Genomic DNA, 17,279 nt, shown 5'->3' on the forward strand with positions numbered 1-17,279 from the left:
CTCTCCTTGATTGTACTTGAAGACTGCATTTTCAGTCTTAAGCAGCTTCACTAAAATAAAATTATTTCAGGAATTTTTCACTTAAAACATGAAACCTTTCTTTCGGCATGTCCCCTTCTGTCTACTGAAACGTGGTTTGGGGATTAGGTATACAGTGAGGTTCTGATTCTGTAATGACAATTTTAACTGTAGCTGCAGAAATTTAATCATAGTTTTCAAGAAACTACATTAGTGCTTCTTTTCTGTCTCTCCTAATGTTCAAGAGTTAAAATGCAGACTAGAGTCTGCTACCTATCTTGGGTATGATTTCCTATTAAATTATTGAAGTTTGTAGGTGTTGGGATGGGAGCACGGGAAAAATAAAACAAAATTTTGCCCAAAGGTTTGTATATTTTTCCAACTGCCTGAATATTACATGCTTTAATTGTTTGTTAATTCTCCCTGTTTCATTCCCTCTCTCATCAAAAAATTCTAAATTTAAAAAATCTGTACTAAAAGTTTGCTAAGAATACTTTATACTAATATCATGAAAATCATATCACATGAAATATATTAATTTCATTGTAATCCTGTTTTCTGGTTGTATCAGTCCTCATTATTTTATTAATGCATTTTATCTGTAACTAGATTTCAGAAACTGTTTAACAAAGGTGGAGCCACAGAGAAACACTGTGAGACATTTACACATACATCTACATTTTACTGGGGTGCGGAATAGTTTGTTTTGCTGAACTAGAACAAATACGTTAGTTCCTTAGGACTAGCAATGAGAAGGACTTTTCTGTCATGGAGGACTATCAAATTACAAGAAATATGTGGGTGAGACTTATGAAGAACTTTGGGACTTAGAGGACTGGTTAGAATTTGGTAGGAAGGAAAACTAGAAGTTGGTTGAAGATGTCGAGGTAACTAGACAGTTTTTCCTATACAACTTTTAATCCTGTTTGTCTGTAGCTTTGCTGTAGTAAGCCTAAAGTCTCTTTCAAGATTGAAATGTCTGTTTGAGTTTTCATAGGAACATTTTCTCCTTACTAAAAATTAGGGTTAAGAGGTCAAAATGAGAAATATTCTGTATTTTTATATTCTCCAATTTTAAAAGAAGTTCAAAGTGAAAATAGAAAATTGTGAATGGAATATTTTGAAATCATAAAATTTTTCATGATTCATGAAATTTTACATTTTTCCTTATGTGAAGGAAATATGTATAAAACAAGCAGGATTATCTTTAATGAAAATGATGATTTTTCATTTTGTTTGAATGACTAAACATAACTTTATTGGTTTTTCTCCTTCTTTTTAAAAATATATCTTACAGAGAAGAAAATCACGATATTCAGACCTTGACTTTGAGGTAAGTTTATATGAATTATTTTAGAATTGTAATTACTTGAATTCAAAATAGATATATAGTTACTTAAAAATTATTACTCTATGCAGCCATGTAAGGGTATTATGTACTAATTTAATTAAATAAGTCAAACATTTTTAATTAAAGTTTATCCTGTATAGGATGAAATTTTTAAATTTTGAATTACTTCAAGTATTTGCTAAACTGAGATTTTCTGGACAAGTGAGGAATTTGTTTTATACATACTACGATAAGTGAACAATTTATGTTAGGAGTTGAACCTGGTTGATTCAGTTTGTAGGGAGGGGGAATGTCAGCTTCCTGATTTTTATATTTAAAGCAATTTTCTTGGTTTTACTTCAGTGACTGCCTGAAGAGATCCTGTGAGTATGCTTAGGCTGGTTAGCTAGGCTTTCTCTGAAAATTACTTGTTTCATGTTCTGATTCCTGCTATTTAGGTTCTCTGCGGTACATTTGATGCTTTTTTTTTCAGTAGAAACTATTGATTCAATGTGCTCCTGTGTTTAGTAAACGCCTTTTCACAGATACAAACAAGATGAAAATTTTCATTTTCCAATTTACATTGAATTTATATTGATGCTGTAATATGTTTACTCGAAATTACTGAAATCATACCATCTGAGGAGGTTATGCTAAATACAAAATTAATGACGTTTAAGCACCACATAAAATGTACTTATGTGTATTGATAATTGGATATGATTCATAGTCTGCTAACATAATTGGATATAATACATTATATATTTCTCCAGTATATTTGTACCTTTGTGATGCATACATAGAACTCAATACTCTTAATTGATACTCCTAAAATTACAGAAGCCTCCCAGAACGTGCTAACTACTCCTAATTCAGTCGTTTCATTTATGTAGATCAATGTTCTAGCTCTACAATGTACATCATGTGTCAAAACTAAGACTTGTTTTTATTTACTGCAATGGTCAACAATGGTTTTACCCTGAATGGAGTCCAAGGATAATTGGTTCTTTTCAGTAACATTTCAGACTACAAGATACAAAGTAATGATAAGGAATCTTTTATCTACGATTAAATAGCAAATTTTAATACTGATGCAGCCTCATTGTAGTAACTTAGCATTGAATATATATTTAATTGTATCCAAAGTTTTTAGCATAAAAGTATCAAGAATATAAATCTGAATAGACAATATTCAGCAATCTTTGCCTTCAGATTTTTTAGTGCCTTTGAAGAACAGATATTTTATAGCTTTTTAATATTAATTCTTCAGGTAGCCAAAAATAGAGGATCAGACTGTATATATTCATGTCTAAAAGCAATAAATTGTTATGTTAGTATAAAGGAAAGGAGGAAGGAATTAACCCACTAGGCATCAGCGGCAAAATATAGTAAAAACCTAGAACTAAAATTAAGCCTCAATTAAACCAACCTAAGTTATGTAATCACAAACACTGAAAAGAAATCTAATCATACTGTGTCACTTGGAGCATTAGAAAAACTGTTCTTTTTTCATCTATTCTCTATGGCAACTGGTAGCAGATTCCTTAAGCTGATACTTACTTCTACGCTTATTATTCCACCCATAAAACCATGTTGTTAGTAAAACTTTTGCTGATAAATAAGAGAAATTGCAACACAAGAACCCCGGACATGTCTTTAGCTCTTTAATTGCTGTAATCACTGCATGATTACTACAGGTGTCAAAATTTGGTGGGGCAGGTGGGAACTTTGAGACATTACTTTTACTCTACAAATTGTTTAGAGCTATTTCCCTTAGTCTCATGTGCTATAACAGGTATGTGGCAGATATTTCGTGGATTGAGTTTAGAAAACTTATTGCCAAGTATAAATGCGAATGAATTGTGATACAATCTATTTATATTTTGTGGGTGGTTCTTGAGGGAAAGTCCAAGTTGTCCCCCTCTTAATTCAGGCTAGCTTAATTAAATTTGTATCAAGCTCCCTGACACTCCTGCTCCGCCTGCAAGCTTTATCATATAATGGCCAGCTTAAATATTTTGCCACTGACAGACTGCTTCTTGGACTTCTTAAAACATCTTTGCTTCAGGCTTTAAGGCTAACACACTCCCCAGAGTCCACACACTATGATAATATTCTGCCAACTCATATATCCCTAAAACTCTTGTGGCTAGTTAATGTCATACCAGGGGAATAGCCCTTTCATGTAGCCAGTCTCCAGAACAGCATTGCATTTCTGGATTCTTGCTTTCTGGAAACTATACAGAAAATACTGTAGTGATATTCTTGTGTTCTGTAACCAAATGCCTTATTGAAATTGTATGCCCACCTCCAGAGATCCTAGTACCTAGTAAGCATTCAGTAATTTTTTTAAAAGAATGGTGAAAAATTGAATTATTTTTCCATCCAGTTTGTTTAACAAAATGTTATTGGACACTGTACCTGAGTTAAGGCAGAGACTAGTATAAAAAATGACAACTATGGAAGAGACGTTTCAAAGATAGCCACACTGAATTTCAAAGATATCCACATTAGATATAACTCAAGGAGATAGAAAAATGGCAGGTAGAAATTCCAGGAATAGGAAAAGGCATGTAGGTTGGCTAATCTGTGGCATTCTTAAGAAACAACAGGTAAGTCAAAATTTACCTAAACAGGTGTCTATGGAAGAAGAGACTAAAGTGAGTAATTTAGAAACCATGCCTTATAGTCCAGGAGGGATTTTTATTTAATTTGCTACTAAAAGCTGCTAAGCTTTTTCTATTGTATTTTGTTTGCTTGTTGTTGTTGCTGCTGTTGTTTCAGCACAGAATGATTTTTTATACTCTAGGTTTTAAAAAGATGAGTATGTCAGGTTTTAAAAAGATGAGGATAGATTGTAGCAGGGTGAAAGGTGAAGTAGAAATACCAATTAGGATTGGCTAGTATAGTAGGTAATGAAAGTCCACTTCCTGGAGGTGGTAGGAAGAGAAAGCAAAGAGAAGACTCTGCAGAGGCAGAATCTATGGAATTTGGTCCTTAACTGAACATAGGGTGAAAGGGTGAGGGAGCAGAAAAAAGAAGACTCTTCAGTTCTGAGCCTGAGTTTTTGCTAGTACCAGTAACAGAACCAGGGAAATCAAGAAGATATCTAGTCAGGGTGAGTTCCATTTTAATATTTTAGAATAAAGATTCCTAATGTGATGTTAAAACAGACAATTAGGTAAGTTGTTCTAATCGTCTGTCTTGTGTCGAGATTTGGGCTCTAAGAATTCCCAGAAACACAATTACAGGCATTCATTCTGAAACGCTAATAGATAACAGTATCCATGCCATGTTAAAAATATATGGATAAAGAAGTATCCATGAAACCCCATCTCTACTGAAAATACAAAAATTAGCTGGGCATGGCAGTGCATACCTGTAATCCCGGCTACTTGGGAGGCTGGGGCGGGAGAATTGATTGAATCCAGGAGGTGGAGATTGCAGTGAACCAAGATCGTGCCGCTGCCCTCCAGTCTGGACAACAAAGTGAGACTCCATCTCAAAACAAAGTAAAAACAAACAAAGAACAACAAAAAGAACTGTATCCATATACTTGTCATACGGATATGTCTTTTTTAATCTTCACTTCCAAAAATGCAGAGATAAAAATTTTCACAGTTTTCCATGAAAATTATGTAGCCTTTTTTTTTTTTTTTTTTTTTTTTTTTTGACAGAGGCTGGCTTTGTTACTCACACTGGAGTGCAGTGGTGCAATCTTGGCTCATTGCAACCTCTACCTCCTGGGTTCAAGGAATCCTCTCATGTCAGCCTCCTAGTAGCTGGGACCACAGGCATGTGCCACCATGCTTGGCTTACTTATATTTTGTTTTGTTTTTTGTATAGATGGGGTCTCACCATGTTGCCCAGGCCAGTCTCGAACTCTGGGGCTCATGTGATCCCCTTGACTCAGCCTCCCAAAATGCTGGGATTATAGGCATGAGCCACCGTTCCTGGCCTATGTAGCCTTTTAAAAACATTTTAGGATATTTCTCTGAGTTTTTAATGAGCTCCATACTTCCACTATTTTCATATTTCTCAAACTGGGAGACAATGATGGTGGACAGAGGACAAAAGAAGACACAGACACAGGGTAATCACAAATCCCCATTTTCATGGGGGCTTGAGTTTTTACAAGGAGATTTGGGGGATAATAGAAGTAAGAGATCATTTTATATTAACTCAATATCACTACAAACACAGCTAAATTGTGACATAGAAATCAAAGTATATTTCAATTTCTAAGTATAAGGCATAAGATTTCAAAGAAATGTCTTGTTCATAACAGACTTCTTCCTGCGCCATCCCTGAGCCCCAGCAGTAAGTGCACTCCATTAGGCAATCTGGGTACTTTTAGAGGAAAAGTTTGAGCAATTTAGTCCTAGACAATAGCCATCTTTTTTTATATTACTAAATTTAAACTGTTGCAAAATTATGCATTTACAGCAAGTATACTCATGATTGACAGTGGCAAAATAAAAAAATATGCAACTAATTTTTGCTGTTTTCAGACCCTGCATCTAGTTTCTTTTAAACTCTGGCATCATATTTATTCAAACAGAAACATATTTGAAACATAGACACTAAAAATGGGTCTACAAGTTCCATGTGAGGGATGCATTGGGACTCCAGCCAAGGAAATCATCCCCCTTTCACAACACACTTTAAGAACTAAGCTAAATCCCTGTAGTGTGCATTGCTTCCTTAATATGAGTTTTGACATTCACTTTAGGCTAATATTCAACAACCTACTCTGGAGAGAGGAATACAGGGCTCAGAAAATGGTAGCCCAGAGTATGGTGCTTTGGCATACTGAGTGCTTTGAACTAAGAACATTGAAAGGCCTCAGAAGCAACCTCAGAATCAGGATCTCTCTGATCTTCTCTTTCCCTCCTGTCAGTGGCCCCTTATTCTCCTCCAAAGTAAGTCATAGATACCAGAATTCCTCTTCACCAAATTGGATCATAGTAAGTAGAACTTCTTTTCCCCAAAGCAAGCCAAAAAACTTAAAAATATTACTCTAACCTTCCCTTCCCTTTTCATCTAGAAGCCAGCCATAAAGGACTCATGCAAACCAGTAAAGAAGAAGAACCACAGGTTCATCTTAGCCGATATGGGCAACGGCATTGTAGGTGTATAAAGTTCTAAGGCTGGAAAACGTCATTCACAGAAACTGGTTTCTAATTCCCATCAGCCCATGATTTCCAGACCTCATACTATAATGTTTATGGTTAGGAGATTCTCCAACTTTCTCTAACAATTTATTTCAGCTTCTAAAAGTCTGTATACAGTGAATACCTCTCTGATATATAATTCAGACTTAAGCATCAACTCTGTGATTCACACTTATGAATTAAAGTGAAAATCTGTAAACAGTTTTTTCTAAGCCCACCTACAGGTCATTTACAGGTCATTTACAAGTCATTTGTATTAAAAAGAAAGGAACACAATAAAATCAGAATGAGGAGGCAAAGCTCCTGGTTGGGACAAGTAAATGAGCCATTCTTCCAGCGGGAAGACCTCTTTTATAGAAGAAGAGGACATTTATAATGGCCTTCCATGTGGCAGTCGCCTTCCCTGGCCTATATGTCTATGCTGTCTTGTTCATTTAAGGTATTCAGTATACATTTATTGAGCACCTGCTGAATGCCAGATGCTGTGTGCTAGGTGCCAGTGATATACAGACGAATAAGCAATTGTCCAGGAACTGTTCAGAGACAAAATATGAAGACCAGCCATTAAAAATATAATTGCAGTACTATGAAATAGCTGCAGGGTGATCAATATCCATGGAGCTTATGGGCTCACTACAGAGGGCACCTAGCCCATCCTGGATTGTTTTGTCTCATTTTCCATTTTAAAAAGACATAATTACAAACCTGAATAGTCTAAAGAAGAGTGCTCCCTGAATCTATGAGACACATCTAAGATAGCAACAAGCAAAGAGAATTGATGTGGAATTCAGAAAGAATTCCAGCTTGCTCACTACTTGTGTGAGCTTGGGAAACTTACTTAGCCTCCTTGAGCTTCAGTTTTCTAATCAGTAAAGTGGAGATAATGGCTTTACCTCCCAGGGTTATTGTGAGGATTAAGAAAGATAATAATGGCTGCCATTTCTTAAGTGGCTCTTATCTGTGTGGCCCAATGATAAGTGTTTTATATCCTTTTTTAAATCTTCAAAATTACCCTGCAACGTAAGTCTGATTACTGAAACTGGGGCTAAAAGGAGATTAGATTTTACACTTCAGACCACACAACTTAAAAGTGATACAACTGAGGTCTAAATATACATTTCTCTAGATCCAACTTGGAGAAATATGCTATCAGACTTGGCATATTCCAAGTATTTTAAATGGTCTAGGAGAGTTCTTGGGATATAGCAGGTACTCCAGACATACAGGTGGCTTTCCATCCTCATTTTTCTCAAATATCTGAAATATGATGAATGTGCTTCATTTTATAGAATCACTTTTTCTCTAATATCAATAATTAAAGGATTGCAATGACTAATTCTCTTGCATTTAAAATGTATAAAAAGAAAGGGGTCTTTTGAAATAAGCTACTCAGGAAAGCATATTTCTTGTGCAGTTAGATTGGTGGTCCTCTCAGGATGGGGATTCATATACAGCTTCAAGAAATGTTGCGTGATAGTAATATGAATGCAAGGAAACATTATCATGCTCTTATCTTTATTGCAAAAGATGCATATAATATTTGACAGCCACCTGAATTCTATAGATGTGTAGATATTGTCAATCAGAATATATCTTTATTTAAATAGAAAATCCACAGATTAGAATTTTCTCATTATTACACATTTTGAAAACTCAATTCTAAGTTCAGTTTTTGACAGCAGTTAATTTCTTTAAAAAACGGGTGCTTAAATTAGAAAAGAAAGAAAAAGGCAATCAGATAAACCCTAATGTCACTAAACATAAAAAACAGCTAAATGAAATAGACCAATAGATTTATAAGCATGAAAACTTCTAAGCAAGTGGCAACTCATTAGAAGCATCAGTGCTACAAATAAATACTCACACAAGTAAATAAATAAGAGGAAACCTTTAGTACATGTGAAAACTAAAACGACACCTAAGTTGTTGCCCCAGAATATTGTTGGGTTATAAACTTTCCAATGTTCACTGTGAAGCTGGCATTCTTATCAGTGGACTCTTCTTTATTTTAAAGGCTGGACGATCTACTTGAGTCTATGAACAAGAAGAAATCATGCTTGGACAATCAAACTGAGTTCATGTCAGAGACATGAGCTGTCAGTGGCAGCTGTTATGTGATACTTCTGCCAGAACTCCAGGCCATCATTGCTATGGTTATTTCTGGCAGTGCCAAGGTGGCAGTTTCAAATTAGAATGAATATTTGGCATGAGGAAGTATTTGCAATTAATGTTTCTAGGTAACAAGGGCCCCATATTTCAGCATACAAATTTTTCATTTGTTTCCATATTCATTTCAGCGTCCTTCAGCTTTATTATTCAGAATAGCTTTAATAAACCCAGGTAGAAAATACCAAAATGTTTTTTAGTTACGTAATATTGGTGACCAGCATAACTTTATATTTTTCCTGTATACTTTTTAGACTTTCATAGCAATCCAATTCTTTGAAATATGATCCACCCAGTTCTGAATTAGGTACTACCCATTCAATCAGAATATAATTATAAAACCTCCAATCAGCTAATGTATATTCTTTTCCATGGAATGTATTTGATGCTTGGTTTGCTTCTTAAAAATGCTTTATCTGGTGTAAGTATTTGGCTGCAACAAACATTAGGTGACTTTGACTAATGAAATAACTGTTGGAAGGGGATGGAATAATTCACCTCTTGGCCAGAGAATAGTAGGAATATCAATGGACATTTCCAGCAACATGGGAAGGATGGGAAGGTATAGTTCCCCAAGGCAAAGTCAGAATCCTCACAAGATGAAGGATAATTGGAGACTTCACAAACAAAAATTATCAGATGCTCATCTCAAAATAAGGGTGCCGTGCCTTTGGCATCAACTCTCTTAGAAGAGAATGAGTTTCTTGTACTTGAAAAGGAAAGATCCCATTGAAGGGAGGGGATTCCAGCATAGAATTAAAAATTGAGCTAGAAATTGTCTGAATCCTAGAAAATGGAAAAGAGAGGATAGACAAATAAGACCATGGGAATAACTAATTTGAGGAATTTCAAATTAAATATGAATATATGAAAATGAGGGGATTGCCTCACTTGGATTTATCTTAGCAAATTATCCTATCACTTTCATAGCAGTACCATATGTTTTCTTTATCACGCTTACAGTTTTACATTTATTTGAATTATTATGGCTGTGTCCTCCATTAGACTTCAAGCTACCAGAGATCAGAAACTCAATCAGATTTTGTGCAACATCATTACCTGAGCATCTAGCACAATATGTGATGCTTGTAAGCATGTATTAAATGATGGAATAAAATATCTCAGAAAAATGTCAGTACATCACCCCACTGTGCCATAGAAGAAAATAACTCTATATTATAAGATTCATTGCTATGAAAAATGAAATTTGTAAGTTAGAAGCACACCCAGTCTTCTAACTACAATAGTTTTTTTTTAAGTGTTCCTTATGACACAAATCCATATTTTCATCAGTATCTTAGAACCTGGTACTGCATGAAAGTGTTTGTCTCCCAAAGGAAAGAATGTGCTACTTTATGTTTGCCAGTGACAGGGTCCTCAAAATCTCCCCATTGAGTTGCTTATGCAAATCCTCTCTCTCATAAATCTCCACAAGCCATCACTAGTCAAATTATGTTTGCCTGGTGTTTCTCTGTTAATCCTGCAAATCCGTTTTGTATATTCCCCCCCAAACTGATGGGAAGTTAATCGCTCTATAATTGCTTGCTATGTTTCATGTCCCTATCATGAGTAATGTTGCCATGTTCTTGTCCTCAAACACCTGATTCTCACACAGCCAACTCCTAGAGCCAAAAGGAGCAAAGACAGAAACTGATTGTTGCAAGACATAAAATGGCAGAAATCTCTCACATAAAAGTAGGCTAGTGAAAAGGAAAGAAATGAGCTAAACAATGTATTGCCTAGATACATATTTATTAAATATAGGAAATTAAAGCTTGCATAGGAGAGAACAGACTTTTTTAATGTGTTAAAGATTCAGTTGTTTTTGTCTTTTGTCCTTTTCCTTTTCCTCAAGGAGATAAAGTGCTTCTCTGCAGTGTCTTTTAGAAGGAATTAGGCATTACAGCTCTCCCAAAGATATATTTCTTTTTCAAAACAAATCCTTACTTTTGAAAATATTTGCTAGTTGAAACAATGGACCAAATATTCAAATTCTAGCTTAAACATAGATATAATATACCTATGCAAACCACAGGCACAAATGGTAAGTTATGAGGCATATGCTTAAAATACAGTAAAATCTTACACAAATATGAAGGCATAGTCTTGGAGAATCACCAAAATATTGATTTTTAACTTTTAAAAATCAAAACTGAGGAAGACATTTTCTCCTTTAAAATAACAATTACAAATACAGGGCACTTATTATCTAACTCTTCTTCGTTAGTGCTCTTAAATGATCTGTAATTGAACAAGATTCAGCCCATGATACTTACCCCAAGGCCATTTTTATTTGACTCCATTTGTTGAGTTATGGTGAAGTTGAGAGAAAAGGGTGTAACCAGGGATGAGGAGTATGAATATATTTGTATCTGTGATTTTAGAAGCAGATCAGCTACACAATTTATGCTCTGAACCCTAATTGTTAAGAATCTATACCATCTCCTAAACAAATGGATGAAATCTATGGGTCAGATTTTCCCCCTAAGAAGCTCAATCATTATGCACATGGAAAATGCAAGGTTTTACATCCCACATATATTTCAGACACTTTAATGCTTTGATTCAGCCTTAATGGCAGGGCTTGGGATTTTGTTCCCACTTTAGTACAGCCAGCTAGGATTTTAGTGTTTATAGAAATAAAGCATAAAAAAGTAATATTTCCCATGACAAACATCAGGGACTGGGTGCTTTACAAGTTTAAGTTTTTAAACATTTTAAAAATATGATAACAGTTTTTGTAAAACAGTTTTAACTTTTGAATAATGAAAATCTTACTCAGAAATGACTGGTACATTTTTAATGTACCCACAACAAAACCTTTTTTTTGTAGTCTTGTAAGTGAAAGAAAAAGCCAATTCTTAATGTGTAAGAAGTGCTGAATATGAGACAATGATTTGCTGCAACTTATTTGCATTTGTGCATCTTATAGGACCTCCTGGTTCCTGCCAAACTTGATTACCCTTATTATTAAAGCAAAAATATTAAATCTCTCTTGTTTGAAAAACATACATCAAGTTGGGGATGAGAGCTATCTTGTTCTTTTTTGCAGAAGGTCATGCATACAAGGAAGAGGCATATGGAACTATTTCAAGAACTAAATCAGAAATTTCAAACTTTGGACAGATTTCGGGATATACCAAATACAAGCAGTATGGTAAGTATGCTTTGCTTCAATGCCTGAGTAGAAGATGCATCATGTCAGATATTATTCCTGCCTTCCAGGACCTCCTAATGGTGGGAACATAAGATGAGTCTACATAGAAAAAAAAAGTATAAGCCCCCAAAACATACTTTGGAAAGTCTACCAAGACAAATTAGGAATGACAGAATCTTTAGGCATTTTATTCATATTTCAAATATCCTCATTTATAAGCTTTCATTAGAGTTAGTTTTATATCAAAACTATATTGGCTTCATCTGATCATTTTACTGTCAGAGTTAAAATTAAAATTAAGTTTCTTTTCAAATATCCCTTTGGGTTAATATTTCCATTTTCATTTGAATGTCTGACATAAATGTAATTGTTTTATGTATATGAAGTTGTAACCTGAAACCAGAGTGATAGATTTTTGTCTCCAGGAGATTTACTTATTTTGTGGTAAGAATTTTCGTACACACATCAACACTGGGGACTCTGGTTATTAACTGTGACCATTCTCTTCTCATTCATTTACATTATTATAATCTTAGTACAGGACTTCATCAAATAAAATAACTTTGTACAATTACTATGTTTATGGCATAATCATAGCTTCACAGAAGTTTATGTAATTATAAGAGCACTAGACCAGGACTCTAGAAATCAGTATACTAGTCGAAAGCTCAAAAGCTCAATCAAGAACTATCTGATCTTAAGCAAGTCACCCAACTCAGGTTTCTAAACTCCAATTTCACCCTCCTAAATGGAGCATAGAAAATAGTAATTAATGTATATCTTCCGTCATTACAACACTTTCAAAAGCAAGTAGGTTAAGAAGCACCTTATAGGCTAGGAAGCTGAGGCTCAGCTATAAGACATAGAGCTGGGACTGCCATCTGACACCAGCTCTTCTCCTTTGCCCAAATATGGGGCTCTTTCTTTGCCTCATACTCTTTGCGGCCCTTGGATGGTCCTTCTTCTTTTCCAGACATCAATATTTATATTGTTCTAAAGTAGATGACGTTTGGTCACCTTCTTAATCTAGTGATTCTTCCATATATATTTTATGAGCCTTAGCCCTAGCTTCCTGATTAGTAATGTTAGCTTCGGAAGAGCTGAAGAGTATCTTTTATGTATCTTTATGTTTTTCTTTTATTCCTCTCAGTACTAGTACAATTCCAGTTGTGATAAGTTATCATGGCTTCTATTGATTTATAGCATGGCTATGATCATTCAATCTGTGTTTGTTAAATGAAGGCTATGAGAAATATACGCTCTAACTCTTAATTGGTCTCTTAATAGTTTCATGTTCATCAATTTTTCTCCTTAAAGTAGGAATCATGTATTATTTGTTATCACCAATCAAATGCTAGGCATATAGAAAACACTTCATTCATAATGAGTGGATCTTCCTCTTCTACTCCTCCTGATAGAAGGCTATCAATTTTTAGCTAGCATGCAAGTGAGAATTACACCATTGAGATTAGACCTAAACACATTACCTACTCATTTCGAAATATTGAAAGATAACATTGAAATAATTGAAGAAACTTCATTACTTAAAAAAGGAGAGGGTTATATTTACAAATCTAAAAGTCTTATGCAACAGATACAGCTGGCTAACTGCTATAATATGATTGTAATTTCCCCTTGTTGTATGGTCTGGGTATTAAATCATTAATGGCACAACTATCTGTATCTCAGTTTCCTGACAACAAAAATAGTCTACTAATTACACCACATCTCTGCAGCAGCGTGCCTTTTCTAGAAGAGATTTATAAATATTTACCATTTGGAAGGTTAGGAGTGGGGAGGATAGAGTTGTCATTGCTGCTTGACTGTCATCCTAAATATCTGAGAAGAGAGAGAAAAAAATGCGACTTCCTTATTCAGTTTTTATTAATAATGAGCATGAGTGAGTTCATTATCTTTAATTTAGTCACATAATTTGTAGTGGCACATTATTAATGAAAAATTGCATAATTGGGTGGAGACAGACTTTTTTAAAACCTCAAATAAAGGGGTTTTTCTTTTCTTTTCTTTTTTTTTTTTTCCGGGCTGCTGACTCACAGCACCTGCCTGGCACTGCAAATGATGGTAATTATGTAGAATAATAGAATTTGGGGAATCAAAGGGAAACCAAAAAACCATTTAGTCCATTTCCTTGCTTCCAGGCAGGAAAACATTTAAATCACACTAAAAAAGAGAAGGCACTGATATCCAGAGAAGAAACTATTTTACTCTGTGTGTGTTTCACAAACCATTCAGTTAAGATCTCTTTCCCCCAAGTAGCTTTTGCAAATTCTTACTTTTTAAAAATAAGCATACTCTTTTTTGCTTCGTACCTAAATATTGGTAGGTTGAAAGAAGGAGGGAAAGAAAGAAGAGAGAGAGGAATCAAAGGAGAGAGGAAGGAAGAAAAAAAGGAAAGGAGAAAAGAGAAAAGGATAGATGGATGGAGGGAGGGAGGGACTTATCCACAAGTGGACAGCCAGTGTGCTCTGGATCCACGAACTATGGGAAATGCTCAGGCAGCCCTGCCATATTTTTGGGTGGCTCTGAACTCTGTTTACCTAACATTCTATTTCTACTGATGCAGCTTAAGACCAAATTAGCATTTTGGGAAGCTTCGTGCACTTTGGCTTATATGGAATTTATGATGTTTTAGCCTTTAACAAATATGCATCTGTTTAACTACAGCTCCTTATTCTGTACTCAAGTGCAAAACATAAATTAACAAACACAAAACAGCAGCATAAATTCGGAGACTTACACTAACTTCGAAGTTTTTATCATAAGATTCACACCTCCATTGAAACCTTTCCTGGCACCTACAGCTCTCATCACCAACTTCAGTGATCCCTTTGGACAGCTCCACGGTTCATCATTTACTTGGACAATTGACAATATTACACTTTTCAGTATGAGAGTCTATAGGCTCCTCTCTTATCACGCCCAACACGCAGGACGATGAGTCGCTCCTGGGTACCACACACTGACAACAAAGTCTCTCCCTACTCCCTGCAGATCTTGTTCCCACTCTGACTTCTGAGTGCAGTAGTTTTTTACCACTAAAGAAGCCTCTGACCTAAAGGGCATCCACACATTTGTGAACAATAATGAGAACACCAGTTGAGCTGGGAGTGGCTTGGGATGCTAAAGATTAGTAGAAAGCCAAAATTAATGAATTATGAATTAATGTATTACCCACTAATAGAACCTCTCAGGAATTCAATAGGTCATGTAGTGACAATAATAGCATTTGAAATTAGAATATAGATTTTCTGACAAAGTTTAAAATTGGCCATTTTAGTTCACATATCCATAACAGTTGATCTTTGAAATCATATCTGTTCCAAACATAATGGAGCCCCTATATATTCCAAGCAAATGAACAAATACTTGGAATTACATACTCTGAATTCTTTCAGGATTGAACTAATTGGACTTTCTTTCAAACTAAGGATTCCCAGAAATCTCCTTTAGACACAACCCTCGTGTATGATAAATGAGTCCACTGTGGATCTGATTCAGTAGAATTCGAACCAGTGAGCCTTTCAGTTGATGTTTGATGATTCAGGTCTCACCATAGTGCCCCTAAACGTTCAACATCTCCCTATTGCCTACAAAATAAATTCCAAATTTAGTAGCCAGGCATTCAGAATCCCTTATGATCTGGCTTCCACTTCACCATCTGCCTGCTTTTCTGCTATTCTCTTTTATGCCAACTAAAATAGATAGGTCCTGTTCTCATGGCTTTCCCGTCTCCGTGTTCTTTGGATTTTTACTTCCCAGTGTGTCATTCAGCCACCAGACCTCCAACCACACATATGTGTTCGTGGCCAAGCCCATCCCTCTATTCTGGCCCTAATGTTACTTTTCTCAGAAAGTTTTATGTGTTTCCTGTATAAAGAAGCCATCTCTCTATCCTTCTCTGAATTCCCATAGTACTTTTCCTGGATGATAGATATAAATATTAACATGTTTTAACCTCCATTTAACTATACATTCTTCTGTAATAAGTATAGCTACTATATATTGAGTGTTTATTAAATTCTCCAGGCATCATTCCAGGTTACCCCACTTTTTTATTTTTGCAACCCCATAAGGTAGGCATTGATCCACACGTTCTGCCAACTCCTTGGCCCACAATATAAAGCATATCGCTGTTTTGCAGATATTCAGGTTGAGGTTCAGAAAAATGAAATCAATTGTTTAAAATCACATTCATCTGAAGTGGAGGAACTGGAATTTGGACCTGCATGTATCAGGCTTTAAATCTTGAGCTTCCTAGTGGACCATGCTGATTATGACTTCATCCTCCCTGGTAGCTAATATGGTGTCTGGCACAGAGCAGCTGATAAATAAATATTGATTGAAGAGAAGCAGAGAGGGAGAGAGGAAAGAAAGGAAGGATAAGGCAGAGGTAGAGCTACAAGACTGTAATTCATGAGACTTTAGAATATTTGACTAAAGCATAATTAATTAATTCCCTCCACACATCCTAAAAATTAACCTTTCATTAAATGTTTACTATTAACCTTTCTTCCCCATATATTCTCAGAAGTAAGGTTAATCAGTGCTGAAAACATCTAATGCATTAAACATTTTATTAATTTAATTTCCAGTTATGGTAAGTGTTTTTGTTGTTGTTTTGGTTTTTGGTTTTGGGTTTTTTTATGTTGCCCAGGCTGGTCTCACACTCCTGGGCTTAAGCAATCCTCCTACCTCAGCCTCCCACGTAGCTAGAATTACAGGCACACATCACTGCACATGGTTTAGGTATGATAAGTATTTATACAGATTGCCTCTCTTTCTTTAGCCATAGTTTCAGATGATGTTTAATATATTGAGTGGAGTTTGGATAGTAATTCAAGTACCTATTTTCTGTTCACTTGGTAATTGATTATAATCAGTTAAACGCCAGATTTGGGGAGCAGGGAAGGCTTACACTCGACAACTATAATATTCTCACTAAACATGACATTCTATAATGAAAAATAAAAAGGAAATTGGAATATTGGGCTTCTAAGATCATTTTAATAATTCTGAAAAAATAGAAATTGAGAGCTAATAGAAATTAAAGGCAGTGATTTTCAAGAGGGAAATATCTTTCAAACTTTATAGAATTTATTGGTATACAATTACAAGTTTAAAAAAGTATTTAGATAAACAGTTAAATTTTATCTCATAATTATTAATTTTAGTCAATCTGTATTCTACAACAAAAAACTCATAAAACAAGAGAATATAGCAGCATTTAAATATTCTAAAATGTTAATTTCTTGAGAAAAACTAGGCATAGTGATCTAAATTATTTAATGGAATTCTGTTACCTTGAGTAACTTTTTATTATCAAATAATATGCCCCATAAGACATTCTCAAATCTGCTAATCTCACCAAATTTCTGTCACAATACTTACATTTTCTACATTTAATCTTAGTGGT

At 35.0% G+C, this 17,279-nt stretch overlaps 1 protein-coding gene across 1 annotated transcript in view; it reads left to right on the top strand.

Moving 5' to 3' along the window:
- ADGRB3 (adhesion G protein-coupled receptor B3) overlaps nucleotides 1–17,279 on the top strand; it is a 754,225-nt gene that overhangs the window by 735,809 nt on the left and 1,137 nt on the right. The window contains exons 30-31 of the mRNA NM_001704.3: nucleotides 1,316–1,351; nucleotides 11,741–11,845. Coding sequence (NP_001695.2) covers nucleotides 1,316–1,351; nucleotides 11,741–11,845 — 141 coding nt within the window. The remainder of the gene's footprint in view (nucleotides 1–1,315; nucleotides 1,352–11,740; nucleotides 11,846–17,279) is intronic.

Source organism: Homo sapiens, chromosome 6 (genome assembly GCF_000001405.40).
Source record: "Homo sapiens chromosome 6, GRCh38.p14 Primary Assembly".
Taxonomy (NCBI): domain Eukaryota; kingdom Metazoa; phylum Chordata; class Mammalia; order Primates; family Hominidae; genus Homo; species Homo sapiens.